At 39.9% G+C, this 18613-nt stretch overlaps 1 long non-coding RNA gene across 4 annotated transcripts in view, besides 2 other annotated features; it reads left to right on the top strand.

The window, feature by feature from the left end:
• LOC105376387 (uncharacterized) overlaps positions 1–18613 on the top strand; it is a 294200-nt gene that overhangs the window by 204348 nt on the left and 71239 nt on the right. The window lies entirely within an intron of this gene.
• Positions 1291–1360: an enhancer, noted in NCBI's record as "active region_2970". NCBI's record gives its function as "activates an Ori minimal core promoter by ATAC-STARR-seq in GM12878 lymphoblastoid cells {active_cell/tissue: GM12878}" and the evidence as "EXISTENCE:reporter gene assay evidence [ECO:0000049][PMID:35858748]".
• Positions 3570–4071: an enhancer, noted in NCBI's record as "NANOG hESC enhancer chr10:6952013-6952514 (GRCh37/hg19 assembly coordinates)". NCBI's record gives its function as "activates a minimal SCP1, AML or CMV promoter by ChIP-STARR-seq in naive H9 embryonic stem cells {active_cell/tissue: H9 hESC(naive)}" and the evidence as "EXISTENCE:reporter gene assay evidence [ECO:0000049][PMID:30033119]".

Below are 18613 nucleotides of genomic sequence, written 5' to 3'. Positions count from 1 at the left end.
GACTGCAGGTGACAGGGATTAAATCCGCCCATGAGGTGGCATCCAGGAAGGTTTTCCAGAGGAGATCACATTTGGGCTTGCCTTAAAACTGGGACAGAGGTTCTCTAGGCTGAGACGTGGAGGAGTAGGGATGGACAAGACAGACACAGAACAAAAATGAAGGTGCAAAAGCACATGATGTGTTTGTAAAACTGTCAGAAAACCAGTGTGTCTGTACATGTGGGTATGTGTGCATGATGTGTGTGTCTGTGTGTGTGTGTCTGTATGTGTGTAGTGTGTGCATGTGTCTGTGTATTGGAAGGTTTGGGTGAAGAACAACATAGTGGGGAAAATGGGGAATTGGATCTGAAATGAGAAGGGGTCGAGTTGTGGACAACATCACATTTAATATTAAATACTTTAAACAATTTGGTAGGCAGAGGGAGCTAAGTAAAGGCTTTGAAGCAGCCAAGCAATGCGATCAGGCTTGTGTCTTAGAAGATAACTATGGATGCATGGTAGAGCATTCAAGAAGGTGAGCACTGTACCCACTGATAACCATCTGCCAAGCATTTACACCTGTGTCTGTCCCTACACCTTCATCCATATTCATATCTATATCCATATCTATCTATGAATCTATCAACCTAATATCCTCCAGTGGTTTTCAACTGGGGGCAATTTTATCCCCCAGAGACATTTTATAATTATCTATCTGGAGACATTTTTAGTTGTCACAACTTGGGATGCTACTAAATGTCCACCAACACACAGGACAGCCCCTGACAACAAGGAATTATTTGGCCCCAAATGCCAATGGTGCCAAGACTGAGAAACCCTGACCTACCTGCCTGTAGAAACCTGCTCAGGTGTCAACTCTAACTTGATCTAAATCGACTAAGCAAACCCTTCAAAGAGAAACCAGTTCCCTTTCTATTCCTCTCTCTCTCTTTCAAGATCCTCAAAGCTTAACTAGGTCAAAAGCAGTATGAATGTAGTTCAGTTTTGTTTTTATGCTGCTGAGTTTAAGCCAAGAGTGGCCTGGTATTTGTCTTCTTGTTTGACATGAACATTCTTTCTAAGAGCATTGAGTCTGTAGAGCTGGTTTCATAAATGGATGGGTTTCTAGATGTGATAATAAATGCTAACGTTTAGAGAATACTCACTATTTCCATGCACTTTCTTATTATTATCTCCATTTTCCAGTGGAGGAAGCTGATGCAGAGAGTGATTTACTTAGAGACTCACGGTCAACTGGCACATTTAGTAATTGATGGAGCTAGACCTGAAATGTAGGTCAGTTGGACCACTGAGTCTGGCTCCTAACCATCATGCTGTGTTGGTCTTTAATGCACTGTACTAGATTCATTATAATTTCCTTCTATGGTATTGGTCTGATGAGCCTAATCCTTTTTGACTTGAAAATGCAAGGGTGGCTGAAAGCGGGAGAGGGGTGCACAGCTGTGCTGCGTCAGGCAGAACCTTTTGCAAGTAAAATGAAAACAGTTTCGCAACAACCGCAGGAAAAAGAGATTATAAACTGATAAAAGTGTCTGGATCACTCGAGTACACTGATTTATGACTAGTACCATGTCCCTTTGAGAAAGAATACTATATGATGATTCATATTTGGCATAAAAGATGTTGCCTCTAGCTGAGGAAGCTGGCAGGTTCTCTCCTGCCTTCTTATATAAATATTTAAGAGCTATGCATCATCATTTATTAGATTTTCTGAAAATTACAGGTGTGAGCCTCTTTCCAGAATACTGGCTTTCTAAGTAGGCCTTATCAGATCATCTATAACTTACATCCTTAAAAAAGAATTGGGTTTTTTAGGCCACTTGAAGATTTCAGAGCCACTTCTGGGAAGCACTGCTCTCTGTGGGACTGCAACACACTTGCTGCTGGGCATGGTTTGCTCCATGTAGCTGCTGGTACTGAAGGTCTCTCCCGGTGCCTGATGTGGGATGTGCCTCACCTCTTACTGCAGGGACATAATCAAGCTGAACTCTACTAGTTCAACTAGTTCCACACTCTGGAGCATAACCCCAGAACTGGGCATGCCATAAAGAGATGAGCCAGGTGCAGTGGCTCACGCCTGTAATCCCAGCACTTCAGGAGGCCGAGGCGGATGGATCACCTGAGGTCAGGAGTTCGAGACCAGCCTAGCTAACATGGTGAAACCCCGTCTGTACTAAAAATACAAGAATTAGCCAGGCATGGTGGCATGCACCTGCAATCCCAGGTACTCGGGAGGCTGGAGCAGGAGAATCGTTTGAACCCGGTAGGCAGAGGTTGCAGTGAGCCAAGATTGCACCACCGCACTCCAGCCTGGCGACAAGAGCAAAACTCTGTCTCAAAAGAGAGAGAGAGAGAGAGAGAGAGAAAGGAAGGAAGGAAGGAAGGAAGGAAGGAAGGAAGGAAATGTAGCCATGGAGACTATCAGGGTAGGGGAAAGAAGAATGATTTCCTCACCCATTGCAAGGATCATGGCTGAGACTCCTATAACAAAAGACAGATTAACAAGGGAAAGCAGACACATTTATTTAATTCAAGTTTTTTTTTTTTTTTTTTTTTTTTTTTTTTTTTGAGACAGAGTCTCGCTCTGTCGCCCAGGCTGGAGTGAAGTGGCGCAATCTCGACTCACTGCAAGCTCCGCCTCCTGGGTTCACGCCATTCTCCTGCCTCAGCCTCCCAAGTAGCTGGGATTACAGACACCGCCACCACGCCCGGCTATTTTTTTGTATTTTTAGTAGAGACGGGATTTCACCGTGTTAACCAGGATGGTCTCGATCTTCTGACCTCATGATCCACCCGCCTCGGCCTTCCAAAGTGCTGGGATTACAGGCGTGAGCCACTGTTAATTCAAGTTTTATGTGACACTTTATATGGAGCTTTCAGGAATGAAAACACAGAGAAAAACAACTTGTGTAAATGTTATGCTAAGTCTGATGAAGAAGTGGATCCTTGTGGAGAAACATGATTGGACCAAGGGGATGGGATCTAATGGGAATAAACTGGAGGGACCTTAGCAAGGCCCATTTGTTCAGATTCTATCCTATGTCCCTGTGTCCCATAGGGCACCTCTGGAATAAAGACTCATTCCAGGACTATTTCAGGGAAGGTCAGCTACGTTATTAGGCCTGCTTCAGGAGACATGGCATGAGGGAAATTCTCTCCAATTTTTATGGTCAGATTTTGCAATTTTCCCAAGGTGCATAATTTGGGGTAGCATGTCCTGAACCCCACTGTCAGCCAGAAGAGAGGGACTCCTGGGTGGAAAGTATGAAAATCAGCCTGGATTTGTCTTCTTGGGGATCATCGGAAATAGTCACATTTTGACTTTGAAGGAGAGAAAATGACCCCAGAAACTGATCCCCCAGGAACTCAGGCCGTCTTTGCAAATGATTTTGACTGGACTGCTAGGCAGAAATGGAACTGTGATAAGGATTGAAACAAAGCTGTCAGTTTGCATATGGGGGAGTCTGGAGGAGCTGGAGAGGTTGATAGAATCTGGAGAAAAGATCAAAGTAAGGAACTGAAAATAAATATTTAAGATTCCATATCATTACGTATTCAACTTTTTGAAGCCTACAGAAGTGAGATTCATCAATTTCTCTTTCCCTTAAAAAAAAAAAAAAGAGGCAAAACCTAACCTCCCAATCCTGGCAAGAGGAAAGAGACACCCCTGTAGTCCAGGGAAAACCGGTTCACCTTATTGCTATTTCATGGAAGCAGCCTGATCCACCAGGGAGGGACCAAAGAGAGGCTTTTATTTAAAATTAATGGTTGAGGTCACCTCTTAAAAGCCTGTCATTTACATGATCAAAGGAGCAATTGCTTCCTGACAGCAATGATGGGAAAATGGAAACATTGGCATTGATGTTTTACCCACAAACCTCCACTCATCTACTTACTCCATTTTATCCCTTGACCTGTGTTTTTAATCATTTCACCTCCTTTCTGCCAAGAATTACTGCTTTCTCTAACACAGGCAATGACCTTACTGCCTGGCGATTTCAAGGACCCCTTTGACAAGAGGAGGTCGCTTACGATTGTCCATTCATCCTTTCAGGAATAAATCACGTGGATTCTTTCCCATTGCATGTGAACCCATAGGAGAATGGAGACGTAGGGCAAAAGGTTGGGTTGCTCACTGTCCAGAGGAGGGAAACCTGCAGTTCCCACTGCACCACTTGCAGGACATTGTCCAGGAACCCAGTGGTCAGCTCTCACCATAATTAGGTGCAAGTGTAATCGTCATGTCATGCTAAAGACTGTGTTACCCTGAATACGCTAAGGACCATCCTGGCTATAGACACACCATCACTACAGAATATTCCTTTGCTTTGGTTTATTTGAGCGGGGAGGGGATGTTCTTGTTGCCCCATTTGTTCCAAAGTGAGTCTGTAGCTTCTCTCTGACTCTCTTGGAAGTTCCTTAACCCACAGAAGATGTCTGTGTCTCTCCCTAGTATTAGAAAACTACAACACAAATTGAGGCCTTCCTGGTCTGAAATCTCCAAAAAGAAATCCTCTCTTTCTCTGGCCCTTCCCCATGGATTTCGTTTACTCTAATTTTCTTCCAAGATGTATATGGTGATGCTTCAGAAGCAATATAGTGCAACAGCTAAGAGTGTGAAGACTGTGGCCAGAATGAAGGGTCTGTGTCATATCCCTCACTTGCCAGTGTTGGGGAGAAAAGACTTTTCACCCATCACAAGGTTCGTGGCTGACACCCTGATATCATTTGGAGGTTTGTCCCATCCAAATATCATATTGAAATGTGATCCCCAATGTTGGAGGTGGGACCTGGTGGGAGGTGTTTGGGTCATGGGGCCGGATCATTCATGAATGGCTTGGTGCCCTCCCCATGGTAATAAGTGAGTTCTTATGCTATTAGTTTACATAGAGCTAGTTGTTTAAAACGGTCTGGCACCTCGTCCTCTCTCTCTTGCACCCAATCTTGCCATGTGACATGCTGACTCACCCTTGGCCTTCTGCCACGATTGGAAGCTAACTGAGGCCTCACCAGAAGCAGATGCTGGCACCACGCTTCCTGTATATCTTGCAGAACTGTGAGCCAAATAAACCTCTTTTCTATAGAAATGATTCAGTCACAGGTATTCTTTTATAGGAACACAAAATGGACTAATACAGACCCCTATAAAAAAAGACAGATTAATGAAGGAAAAGCATACAAATGTATGTAATAGAAGTTTCATGTAACATAAGAGCCTTCAGAAATGAAGATGCAAAGAAGCAGGAGAGCCATGTATATTTTATGCTAAGTCTGATGAAGAAGTGAATTGTTACGGGGAAACATGATTGAACAAGGGGGGTGTGATCTAATGGTAACAAACTGTGGGGACTTAGTGAGGCCAGTTTGTTCAGATTCTCCTATGTGTCTCTGTGTGACATTCCTTCCTTCTGGGTATAGAGGAAAACATCTGTCACATAAGGAACGTTAGGAGAGAAGGGAGGAAGAAGGTGAGAGACTGATCTTCCTCAGATACATGACCTGCTGTAGGAAAGGAGGGCAAGGGAAAGGTCAGAGAGACCTTCCTGCTTCTGCTTTCTCAAATGACAAGGTGTCATATTTTGGGGTAACATGTCCTCAACCCCCTCAATAGTGAGTCTTTGAGAAAACGTAAGCCTTGATTTTCTTGTCTGTAAACTGGGAATAATAATTTTAACATACTAGTGTTTAAGGACTATATTAGCCAATGGACTCAGCACAGGACCTGGGATATAGTAAATACTCGATAAATACTAGCTTTATCAGTAGTATTGTTGCTTCTTACTGTTGCTATTAATAGCATGTGCTCTATGGAATTCAAGTCAGACCAGTTGCCAGTGCCATTCTACCAGGCAAAATGCCTAACCACCAGTGCCTTTCACAAGGAAAATATTCAATGAAGAACCTTAACATGGAAGAAAGGGTGAGAACAAAAGAAGGAGAGGACAGGAAGAACTTGGTAAACACTCCTGGCAAGGCAGGAACTTGCAAATCAAAGAATCTGTCAACCATTGTGACTCCTCGCTACCCTATGAGGGCATATCTGGGAGCATTCCTGGAGGCCTAGTTAAGGCCTAATAATAGGAGAGAGTCTGGGATGCTTAAAGGATGGAGGAACGAGTAGGTTGAAGTGGGTAGAGTCAGAGGTGTGCTGTAAACCTGGAGAGACAGGCAGGGCAGAACCAGGCTGAAGTCTTAGTCATGTTACTTACTTTGGTTTTTATTCTAAGAGCAAGAAAGCCAACAGAGAGTTTTTTTTTTTAATCTTATATTTATTTGAATACTAACAAAACTTAATTTGTATATATTTGTTTGCTTTTGCATGTTTCTTTTTTGAATTTCCATTATTTGTTTTTCTGATAGGTTTTTTATCTGAATTGTCACTTGCTATTCAATTTGCTTATTGTGTTTTTGCCTACAAAACTTTAACATTTTTATTCTGTGGCAATATCAACATTTTTTTTCTTTTTTAAATTTTATTATTATTATACTTTAAGTTCTAGGGTACATGTGCACAATGTGCAGGTTAGTTACATATGTATACATGTGCCATGCTGGTGTGCTGCACCCGTTAACTCGTCCTTTAGCATTAGGTATATCTCCTAATGCTATCCCTCCCCCCTCCCCCCACCCCACAACAATCCCCAGCGTGTGATGTTCCCTTTCCTGTGTCCATGTGTTCTCATTGTTCAATTCCCACCTATGAGTGAGAACATGCGGTGTTTGGTTTTTTGTCCTTGCGATAGTTTACTGAGAATGATGATTTCCAATTTCATCCATGTCCCTACAAAGGACATGAACTCATCATTTTTTATGGCTGCATAGTATTCCATGGTGTATATGTGCCACATTTTCTTAATCCAGTCTATCATTGTTGGACATTTGGGTTGGTTCCAAGTCTTTGCTATTGTGAATAGTGCCGCAATAAACATACGTGTGCATGAGTCTTTATAGCAGCATGATTTATAGTCCTTTGGGTATATACTCAGTAATGGGATGCCTGGGTCAAATGGTATTTCTAGTTCTAGATCCCTGAGGAATCGCCACACTGACTTCCACAATGGTTGAACTAGTTGACAGTCCCACCAACAGTGTAAAAGTGTTCCTATTTCTCCACATCCTCTCCAGCACCGGTTGTTTCCTGACTTTTTAATGATTGCCATTCTAACTGGTGTGAGATGGTATCTCATTGTGGTTTTGATTTGCATTTCTCTGATGGCCAGTGATGATGAGCATTTTTTCATGTGTTTTTTTGGCTGCATAAATGTCTTCTTTTGAGAAGTGTCTGTTCATGTCCTTCACCCACTTTTTGATGGGGTTGTTTTTTTCTTGTAAATTTGTTTGAGTTCATTGTAGATTCTGGATATTAGCCCTTTGTCAGATGAGTAGGTTGTGAAAATTTTCTCCCATTTTGTAGGTTGCCTGTTCACTCTGATGGTAGTTTCTTTTGCTGTGCAGAAGCTCTTTAGTTTAATGAGATCCCATTTGTCAATTTTGGCTTTTGTTGCCATTGCTTTTGGTGTTTTAGACATGAAATCCTTGCCCATGCCTATGTCCTGAATGGTAATGCCTAGGTTTTCTTCTAGGGTTTTTATGGTTTTAGGTCTAACGTTTAAGTCTTTAATCCATCTTGAATTAATTTTTGTATAAGGTGTAAGGAAGGGATCCAGTTTCAGCTTTCTACATATGGCTAGCCAGTTTTCCCAGCACCATTTATTAAATAGGGAATCCTTTCCCCGTTGCTTGTTTTTCTCAGGTTTGTCAAAGATCAGATAGTTGTAGATATGCGGCGTTATTTCTGAGGGCTCTGTTAGCCAACAGAGAGTTTTAAGCAAGCAAATTTTAAGACCTAATTTGTATTTTGAAAAGACTATTTTTTTCTTTTTCTTTTTCTTTTTTTCTTTTTTTTTTTTGAGACAGACTTTTGATCTGTCATCCAGGCTGGGGTGCAGTGGTGCAATCCCAGCTCGCTACAACCTCCACCTCCCAGGCTCAAGCCATCTTCCCACCTCAGCCTCCCAAGTAGCTGGGACCACAGGTGTTTGCCACCATGCCTGGCAAATTTTTATATTTTTTGTAGAGACAGGGTTTTGCTGTGTTGCCCAGGCTGGTCTCCTAATGCCTGTCTTCAAGTGACCCACCCACCTTGGCCTCCCAAAGTGCTGGGATTACAGGTGTGAGCCACCACATCTGGCCTGAAAAGACTCCTCTTAATCTTAAGCATAGATTGGACAGAACCAGAGTAAAGGAAGGTGATAGATGAATTGGAAGATTATTGTAGCAGTCTAGGCAAGAAATGTACTAGCTGAGAGTATGGTTGGAATGGAGAAAATGGAAAGAGCTGGACGTACTTGAGAAGTAATTTGGGAAAAAAATCAAAAGGATATATTTACGAATTAGTAGAGGAAGGGGTTGAAGAAGAGAGTGGTATCAACTGTGACTCCTAGTTGTGACCAGAGAGATTGGGTGGTTGGTGGGGACATTTGAGCTACTTTTGAGATATAAAAAGTAGTTAACTAGACCGCTGGATATGCAAATCTGGAGCTCAAGGGAAAGATTGGGCTGAATTTGGAAGTGATGAGATGGTAATAAAAATGTTTTCAAAGTTAGAGAAAAGTACAGAGGTAGCTGAAAAGGATGAGACATTAAAAATGTTTATTTTAAGATCAAAAATTCTTGAGCACATACAAAAGTTAATGAAAATTAAAAAGAACAATGGAATATGCAGGAGGAAGAAGGAATAAATAATTATGAAAATATTCTATCGATTTGTTTTTAATCAATTTTGTATTTTTCATATTTCCAAAAATTATTCAAAATAACATAATATTTCAATATGAAACACAAAAGCAGTAGTATTTAATTTTTGAAATATTTAATATTAGTAACAGAAGATTATAATACATTAAGGTATCTGAAACTAGTGGATCTGTCAGGATGATTGAAATTAACAAACCCCTTGAACAGGGCCAAATCTAGCCTAGCACCTGCTTTTGTAAATAAGACTACCGGAAAACAGATATGCCCATTTATTTACATATTGTCTATGACTGCTTTCCACTACAATGGCAGAGTTGAACAGAGATTGTATGGTCTGAAAAACCGAAAATATTTACTATATTCCTCCACTTTGGCATAAAGATTATTTTAAGTTGTAGACAATAAGAACAAGCAGACACCAAAAAAAGCCCTCTGCCTTGTCCCTATTTACCTGAAAGCAGGACATAAATTTCCCTTTGAGATGGTATCCCCACTCCTCTTTCCCATACCAGGAAGAGGAGAAGGAATCTTACTACTGGAGAGAGCACTGAGATAAGTATACACAAACAAAACCTTAATAAACAACTTTTATCTTCCGTTAGTTTCCCCCATATATTTACCTTCCCACAAATTATCCTGGAAGCTCAAAACTCCCGTTCCTTTGTAATTGTCATGTCTGCACAAATTACAGCCCTTTGTTAGAGTGGTATATAAGCCTCCAGTTCTCACTGCCTCTTTGGGGTTTCACTTGATTTCTGTGAGGCCTTCCATATGCACATAAAATAACTCTTTCCCTCCTGTTAATCTGTCTTTTGCAGGTTTACTTTTTAGGGCTCCAGTTACTAAACCCAAGAGGGTAGAGAAAAAGTTTTCCGCCCCCTGCAATAATAAGCATGTAACATACAAGTAAACTGCAAAAAATAGTTGTGAGATCAGGAGGGAAAAATTCAGAGTTGGAATCAGAGGCAGGGAGGGGAACTGACATCAGCCTGTCTTTCTTTGTCCAAATCATATCCTTACCGTGTCCTTATTCATTTCTTCATTGAGAAGATCCATCTTTTCCAAATTTTTCTGGTATCGCTTGGAAAACACAAAAATCACCTCTGGGAAGCTTGGGTTTTTATGTTTATAAATATTCACTTAATTTCCACAAATATGACGTTTTTCACCAGGGTAGGGGGGCGTGCCTGTTGGGAAAGATTGTAACGCAGGGCCTTGCAGATTTTGTCCTGTCCAGTTTTCTTATTAGCTTGAAATAACTTAATTTTTTTTCTTTGGAATATCCTTTCCTTTCTGCTTTCCTCATTGTAATACATAAAACAAACGCAAGTTCTTACCCAACAGAGTCCTGTAGAAGCATTTGTGAGAAAAGGAGAGATTTTGAGTAATGTGCGGCCTGTGCAAGATTCTCACTGAATTGGACTGTCCTAAATAGGAAGCTTGAATGAGAGATTTCCTTGTTAGGTTTTCTCCTTACTATCACTACCCACAGCATATTTTTTTAGATATATTTGCAATATTAATTGAGTACCTACTGTAAACCTTGCATTTTACATAATTTGTGTAAATTATTCCTCACTATAACCTTGCAAATATACCTTATTGACCCATTTTACAGATGAGCAACGAGGTTTACGGAGTGAATTTCCCACATTCATAGAACTGGAATTTGAACTTTGGTCCAGTTGAATTACAAAGTTTGCCCTCTTTCCAATATATCCTCCTGTCATTTTCTTGGGTAAGATGTGTTTTCCTGCTAGTTAATTCTGTATCAACATTTGAACATATAGCCAAGGGCACAAAGAGAGTTTTTAGGATTTCTAGTGGAGTTCTTTGTAAAAACACTGTTCTTTTTTTTTTTTTTTTTTTGACAGAGTCTTGCTCTGTCGCCCAGGCTGGAGTGTGAAGGCGTGATCTTGGCTCACTGCAACGTCCACCTCCTGGGTTTAAGCATTTCTCCTGCCTCAGCCTCCTGAGTAGCTTGGATTATAGGCACTCACCATCACGCCTGGGTAATTTTTTGTTTTGTTTTGTTTTGTTTTTGAGACGGAGTCTTGCTCTGTCGCCCAGGCTAGAGTGCAGTGGCGCAAACTCGGCTCACTGCAAGCTCTGCCTCCCAGGTTCACGCCATTCTCCCGCCTCAGCCTCCTGAGCAGCTGGGATTACAGGGACCTGCCAGCATGCCCGGCTAAGTTTTTTGTATCTTTAGTAGAGACGGGGTTTCACCATGTTAGCCAGGATGGTCTCCAACTCCTGACTTTGTGATTCGCCTGCCTCAGCCTCCCAAAGTGCTGGGATTACAGGCGTGAGCCACCATGACCAGCCAATTTTTGTATTTTTAGTAGAGACAAGGTTTCACCATGTTGGCCAGGCTGGTCTTAAACTCCTGACCTCAAGTGATCCACCCTCTTGGCCTCCCAAAGTGCTGTGATTACAGGCATGAGCCATTGCATCTGGCCAAAAACACTGTTCTTTTACATTTATTTTGTACATCTATTGAGATTTTTACAAGTTGATTTTACAAATGTGCAACCAATCTCTTTGCTGCTTTCTCTGTTCTGATTTTCTTGTAGCTGAGCCCTATATCCTAGAGTCTTCTCTTTTCAACACTAAAACAAAAATATTAAGAGTTTGCCCAATATAATCCATAATTAGCTGAGATAGCTACTGTTGAAACTGCTTACTGCCCATCTTTACCCAGAACCAAATTGGGAAAAGCATTTCCTTTTCAAGGAGATCCATAAACTATGAAGAAATATATTGCTAAGCTTCTTATTTAGCAGTTTTGTAAATTATAATTAATAATATTGTTTAACAATAATATTTTGGTAACAATGGTTTACACAACGCTAGATATCTTTGCAAAATATAGGGAGATGTTCTTTAAGACTTTATTATAAGAATCGGTAAGTGTGATGAATTCATTACTGCCTCATCTTTTTGCCCATCCTATATTTAAAACACTGCAGTTTATGATGTAGAATATTAAAATCTATTATGAATACATGATTAATACATATAGAAAAACCCTTCTAACAGCTGTGTGCTGTTTTATTGTTATGATTGTCTTTCCAATGTGGCATTAATAAAATTGATGCCATAGTACAGCCCCTCAAATTGCTTGTTACTGGTAATGAGGGAATAATTTGAAAGTAAATAGTCTCTGGCAAAACTAAAGATGGCTATTTATTTGAGACTTGATTAATTAATAATTATTCATTAACTGATGCTAAATGCCTAATGTGTTGTCTTTGCCTCTTGGCCAAAAGATACTGGTGTTTTATTTTGGTGCCAATGCTAATTGTTAATTATTGCTCTGGGAGCTGGAATTTGACTGAGAAACAAAAGTTTGCTAGTGACTTGCTTTCCTCAAGTCCACGGAGGAGGGAAAAAAAAAAAAAAGCCTCTAGACCCTTGAGTCTCACTTCTAAGCCTGAGCTTTATGCCTAAAATTTGCAGCCCTGAGGGAAAGGTTTGGAAAGCTGCAGGAAAACCCCACAAGACAAGCATTCATAGCTGAAGCTTTGGGGACCATTGTTGCAAACTGAGTCCTAAATCAACTGAGGTCATTTAAACCGAATGCACTACCAGCCTGTTTCAATGTGGAATTTCAGCAAGGTGTTGTTAATATCCCCTTAAGTGGCTTTGTTGTGATTTAACATTTCGACTACTGGGACCTAATTGGACCTTAGGTCTTAGCAGTTCTGAACAAAGAGTGACATTTTCAAATAATTTGGGAAAATACATTAATTTCCTTAACTTTTTTTATTGTTTGTGGGTAGGGCCAAGGAAGACTACATCTCTATAAAAAAGCACACAGATCCTTCCAATTTATTGCTTGACAGTTCGCATAAGTTTAGACATTTGCATGGTTGATGGTAGATGATAGAATGCCTTGAAAGTTTTTTCCAGGGTGCAAAGTTTATATAATTTGTTTTACATTTCATTGCAATAGGCAGTGTTTCCATTGGCTGCAATTTTTTAAGGCTAGACATGCACAACTTCTGATAGCAACAGGAGGCAGCCAAATGCCCAGGCAGACAGGGGTGGGTCCCCAGTGAAACCCCACCTTCAAGCCAAAAAACAGCCTGAAGGCTGGAAGACCAGACTGCTGGTCCTGGATGAAACCCACAACCCAGTGTGAGAACTTCTGTTCCTGTTTGCCCCCACTTTCCTGGTTGATTCTTTCTGAATAATGCCTTCTAACCAATCAAATGTTGCCTTTTCCAATACTATCTGCGGCCTGCCCCCTCCCCTATTCTGAGGCCATAAACCCCCGGACTCAGCCACACTGGGGGGACTTTCCTGCCTTCAGTTAGGGGGATCATCCCCATGTCTCCTCTCCATGGAAGGCTGTTTCATCACTCAGTAAAACTCCCTGCCTTGCTCACTCTTCAATTGTCATGTATCCTCATTCTTCTTGGATGCTGGACAAGAGCTCGGGACCCACCAAGTGCAGGTACCCAGAAAGGCTGTCACACTGGCCTTTTGCCCTCACTGGCAGAGGGCAGCCACCCCACACAGTAGGGCCAGGGACCAGCTGAGCTGCTAACATGCTGCCGTCCATCAGGCTGTGGATAGAGGCACTAAAAGAGCTAATTAGCACACACACACCCCCTCTGGGGCTTCAGGGTCACAAGCACCCTCTCAAGGTGACATGCCTGGTCTGGTCACAGGCCCTGTATGGAGCTTGCTCCTGTGTTGGTGCTTGGAGTGGCCGGCCAGATCCCAAACTTGCTTGCTCACATGCTCCCTCCTGCAAGGGGCTGAGTGCAGCAGGCCAAGTAGATGGGATGCCCCTGCTGCGAGTCCAGCAAAGGGGCTGAGAAAAATCCTGTGTCACTTCCACAATGTATAAAGCTTTTTAAATTTAATGAATATCATTCTTACACGTCATTAAAAAATTAACATGAAGCCCTTTGTGGCCACTTCAGTGAATTCTCTGGCATTCTTTTGATGGAGTGACTTTCTAGTTAAGATAGAATTACACCTCCCTAATATGGGAAGGAAACACAAGGAGCATTTGTTTAATTCTTTGATTCAGGGCTAGATCCAGGTTAATTGAACAGTGAGTTGTCTATGCTATTCTGAAAGGTTTCCAGGAATGAATACTTCATCTCTTGGTAGCCTGTTCCAGTGCTGAATCAGAAAGTTCTTTACCAATGTCTTATTTGACTTCTTGCTGCTCCAAAAGCTTTGCTCTCTGTGGAAATTGAGAATGGTTCGGAAACAATCTATTTATAATAATATTTCAGATTCTTAATGATAGCTATTAAATTTCTCTTCAACTTTCTTCCCACCAAGGTAATTAACCGAATTCTTTTAACCTTTCCTTCTAAGACCTCACGTGGCTGTTAGCAGCCATGCGTCATTTACACATCAATTCTCAGTTCTAGTGCTCAAATTATTTCAAGGATACTTGCTGGGTATTTGGCCATGAGGCATTTGAAAAGGTCTCAAGGAATTCCAACAAGAGTATTTTATTGCGGTGAATGTTTAAGTGCTGTTATCCACCGCGTGCTGAGCTCTGCCAAGGACCACCTTATACCAGCTGAAGGTGTCAGGCTCTTATATTTTATGGTAGATAGTTGTTCCCTTCATGGAGTTTAAAGTATCGTGGAGGAGTGTACGTTCCCAGGAAATGAAATCATTTCGCCAAATTCACTTGACTGTCATCATTAATGTTGGTTGCTGTCCCTGCAGCAGCTTTCTTTCAAAGTTGATTTATCAAGAAGAGTCCATAGGTTGAGAAAAGGCATAAAATAATTCATATCATGAGGGCCTGAAGTAGTAGGAAGTCAGATGGCAATGAAGGAAGCCAAAAAGGGCTCCCCACCTGGGTCTAGTATCTGTCCATGACAGAGACTAAAGTCCAAGCCTCTGTCACACCCCAGTGCTTACCTTAATAATGTTCCACACAGCACCTCGCCTCTCAGGCTACCCTTTACTTTACCTTTTAAGAACAATAATTGCTATAACAACATACACTTCTAATTTTGTCTTTACAAAAACATTACGTGTGCATTTGAAATAAAGGGAAACATGCAAATAAACTGGAGAAAGAGAAAGAAAACCTCATCACAGTCCTATCATCTAGGTAAAACTACCAATAATAGCTCCTGGCATTTCCTGGCCTTTTTATTGCATTTGAACAAAAGTAAGAGTGTATGATACAGTTTTATAAATGTGTCTTTTAAACATTTAATCAGATATCATGAATGTATTTTGATATCAACAGATATAATTTCCCATCCTTTTTAGTGACTGCATGACACTTTATTGCATGAATATAATTTACTTAACCAAGCTCCTATTTTGGGATAGTTTATTTTCAATACTTTCAATGATAACATTTAGACAAGCACTCTCATAGCTAAGCCTTTGTACATTTTAATTGTTTACTTAGAATTTAGTCCTAGGAAGGAATGAAAAAAAAATTATTAAACAGAATACATCCATTGTTAAGGATTTGGCTAAGTGTTGCACCCTTCTCTAATAGAAGGTTTTCACTCATTCATTTTCCTACCTGATGTGTATGAAAGCATCCTGTCCTCACGTCCTCACATCTTAAATTTTTTGTCAGGTTGATAGTTGCAAAATGATATACTATTTTTGTTTTTTAAAATCAATTTGATGAAATTATTATGTACATACAGTATAAAAAATACACTCACTTTACAGGTATGTTCCGCAAGAGTTAACAAACGTACACGCAATGTAACCACGAGCCAATAAAGATATAGAATATTTTTGTCCTTCTAAAAAGTTACCCCATGTCGTTTTGTCCTAGTCCCAGACAATCACTAATTTGTTTGCTGTCACTATAGAGGCCTTTTGATAATTCTTTACTTTTATATATACAGAGTCATACAACATGTACTCTTTTGAGTCTGTATTCATTTACTCTGCATAACATTTTTGACACACATCCATGTTGAGAGCATCAGTAGTTATTTCTTTTTATTACTGGATAATATTGCATTACACAGATATACGCAATTTGCCTACCACTCATTTGCAAATGGACATTTAGGTTGTTCTGAGTTTTAGCCTTAAAAGTAAGTTGCAACGAACATCTGTATACAAGTGATTTTTTGTGGACATGTGTTTTTATTTCCCTTAGATAAATACCTAGGAAAGGAATTATTGAATTGTGCAGTAAATGCATGTTTAATTTCACAAGAAGATGCCAAAGTCGTAACAGTTTATACATCCAAAGCAATCTATGAGCGGTCCAGTTGTTCCATATCTTTGTCAACACTTGCTATCATCAGCCTTTTAAGTTCTAGCCCACCCAGTGGGTGTGTAGTCGTATCTCAATGTGATTCAAATTTGCATTTGCTGATGGCTAGTGATATTGGGCATCTTTTCACGCACTTACTGGCCATTCATATGTCTTCTTTCATGAAGTGCCAGTTCAAATCCTGCCCACTTTTTAACTGGATTATCATTGAGTTAGTGGAATCCTTTATAAATAGTGGATGTAAATCCCTTGTCAGATGTATATTGCTAATATTTTCTTCTAGTCTGTGGCTTGCCTTGTCATTTTGTTGATGGTATCTATGATATCTTCCAAAGACCAGAAGGTTTTAATTTTGATGGAGTCCAAAGTATTATTTTTTTTCTATTATAGTTCTTGCTCTTTTTGTGTTTTGAGAAATCTTTGTCTATTACAAGGTTGTAAATGTGATCACTTACATTTTCTCTTTGAAGTTTTCTAGTATTAGCCAATACATTATCAACTGTGATTCATTTTGAAATAACTTTGTGAATGGTGTGAAGTATGAGTTGAAATTCATTTTCATTTTTTTTTGTTTTAGCACCACTTATTAAAGGTTATCCTTCCCCTATTACATTAGCTTGGTTTCTTAGACAGAAAAGCCAACTAACTATATATGTATGGTTTTATTTCTGGAGTCTGTTTTTAGTTCCAAAATAACATGCCCATTATTAAGTTAATATCACATTTTCTTAATTACCGTATTTTTTGGTACTTCTTGAAGTCAGGTAATATGAGTCCTCCAACATTACTCTCCTTTTTCAAAATTATTTTGGGTATTCTACATTCTTTGCATTTGCATTTTAGAATTAGTTTGTCGTTTTTAAGGGAAGCCTGTAAGAAATTCATTAAGATGGCTTTGAATATATAGATCAATTTAGAGATAACTGATATTTTAATAATACTGAGTCTTTCAATCCATGAGGATTGATGTGGTTTGGCGCTGTGTCCCCACCCAAATCTTATCTCAAATTGTAATCCCCACACGTGGAGGGAGAGACCTGGTGGGAGGTGATTGGATCATGGGGGCGGTTTCTCCTATGCTATTCTCATGATAGTGAGTGAGTTCTCACAGGATCTGATGGTTTTATAAATGGGATTTTCTCCTGTGCTATCTGTCTTTCTCTCCTGCCACCATGTAAGAGGTGCCTGCTTCCCCTAAGCCTTCTGCCTTGATTTTAAGTTTCCTGAAGCCTCCCAGCCGTGTGGAACTGTGAGTTAATTAAGCCTTTTCCCTTATAAATCACCCAGTCTCAGGTGTTTCTTTATAGCAGTGTGAAAATGGACTAATACGGAGATGGTTTATTTCTTTAATTTATTTCAGCAACGTTTTTTGGTTTTCAGTATTTAGGTTTTATACATATTTTATTAAATAATTTTAATATTTTTATGCTATTGTAAATGGTATTAGTTTTTAAAATTTCTTTTTTGAATTGTCCATTGCTAGTGTTTTGAAATATAGTTAAATTTTGTGTATTGACCTTGCATTTTGTAAGCTTTCTCAATGTACTTATTATTTTTGTAGCTAATTTTTAATTTATTTTTATTCTGTGTTTTTTTTTTGAGATGGAGTCTCCCTCTTTCACCCAGGCTGGAGTGCAATGGCATGATCTCAGCTCACTGCAACTTCTGCCTCCCAGGTTCAAGTGATTCTCCTGCCCCAGCCTCTCGATTAGCTGGGATTACAGGTGCGTGCCTCCATGCCCAGCTAATTTTTGTATTTTTAGTAGAGACGGGGTTTCACCATGTTGCCCAGGCTGGTCTTGAACTCCTGACCTCAAGTGATCCACCCGCCTCAGCCTTGTAGCTATTTTTATAGATTTCTTAGGATTATCTACATATGCAGTCATATAATCTGCAAATGAAGACAGCTTTCTTTCAAATCTGTGTACATTTTAATTCTTTTTTAACCTTATTGGGCAAAACCTCTAGCACAGTGTTGAATAGGAGTGGTAAGAGAAGATGTCTTTTCCTTGCTTCTGATCCCAGGGAGGAAGCATTCAGTCTTTAACAAGTTGTTAGTTGTAGGTTTTTCATAGATGTACTTTGTTAAATTGAAGAGCTGCCCTTTATTCCTAGCTTGCTACAAGGTTTTACCATAAATGAGTCTTAATATTTTGTCATGTATTTTTCTGTGCATTTTTGGTGGTCATATGCTACATGCTCCACCCTGATTCTGTTAATATGGGTGGGAGTAAACAGTGGGGAAATGGAAATATAATGTCGTAAGGCTCTTACACTTTACATGCAGTGATATAATATTATTGGGGGAAAGACAATTATAAGGTAAGAATGCATAGCGTGATCTCTAGAACCACCACCTAAAACAAAGCAAAACAAGTGACATAGAGAAAACATCCATTGTGGAGATACAAGGAAATCATTTTAAAATTATTCTGTCAATCTGGAGAAAAGCAAAAAAAAAGTGGGGGGAAAAAACTCAAAGAACAGGTGAATCAACTACAAAACAAATAGCAAGATGGTGGACTGAAACACAATATTTATAATTATGTTAAGTGTAAATGGCCTAAACACCACAATTAAAATTGGTTTTCAGACCAGGTAAAAGAGATCCAA

The sequence above is a fragment of the Homo sapiens genome, chromosome 10 (assembly GCF_000001405.40).
Source record: "Homo sapiens chromosome 10, GRCh38.p14 Primary Assembly".
NCBI classification, from domain to species: domain Eukaryota; kingdom Metazoa; phylum Chordata; class Mammalia; order Primates; family Hominidae; genus Homo; species Homo sapiens.
The sequence above is the reverse complement of the archived record's forward strand: the minus strand, read 5'-3'. Positions and strand labels throughout refer to the sequence as shown.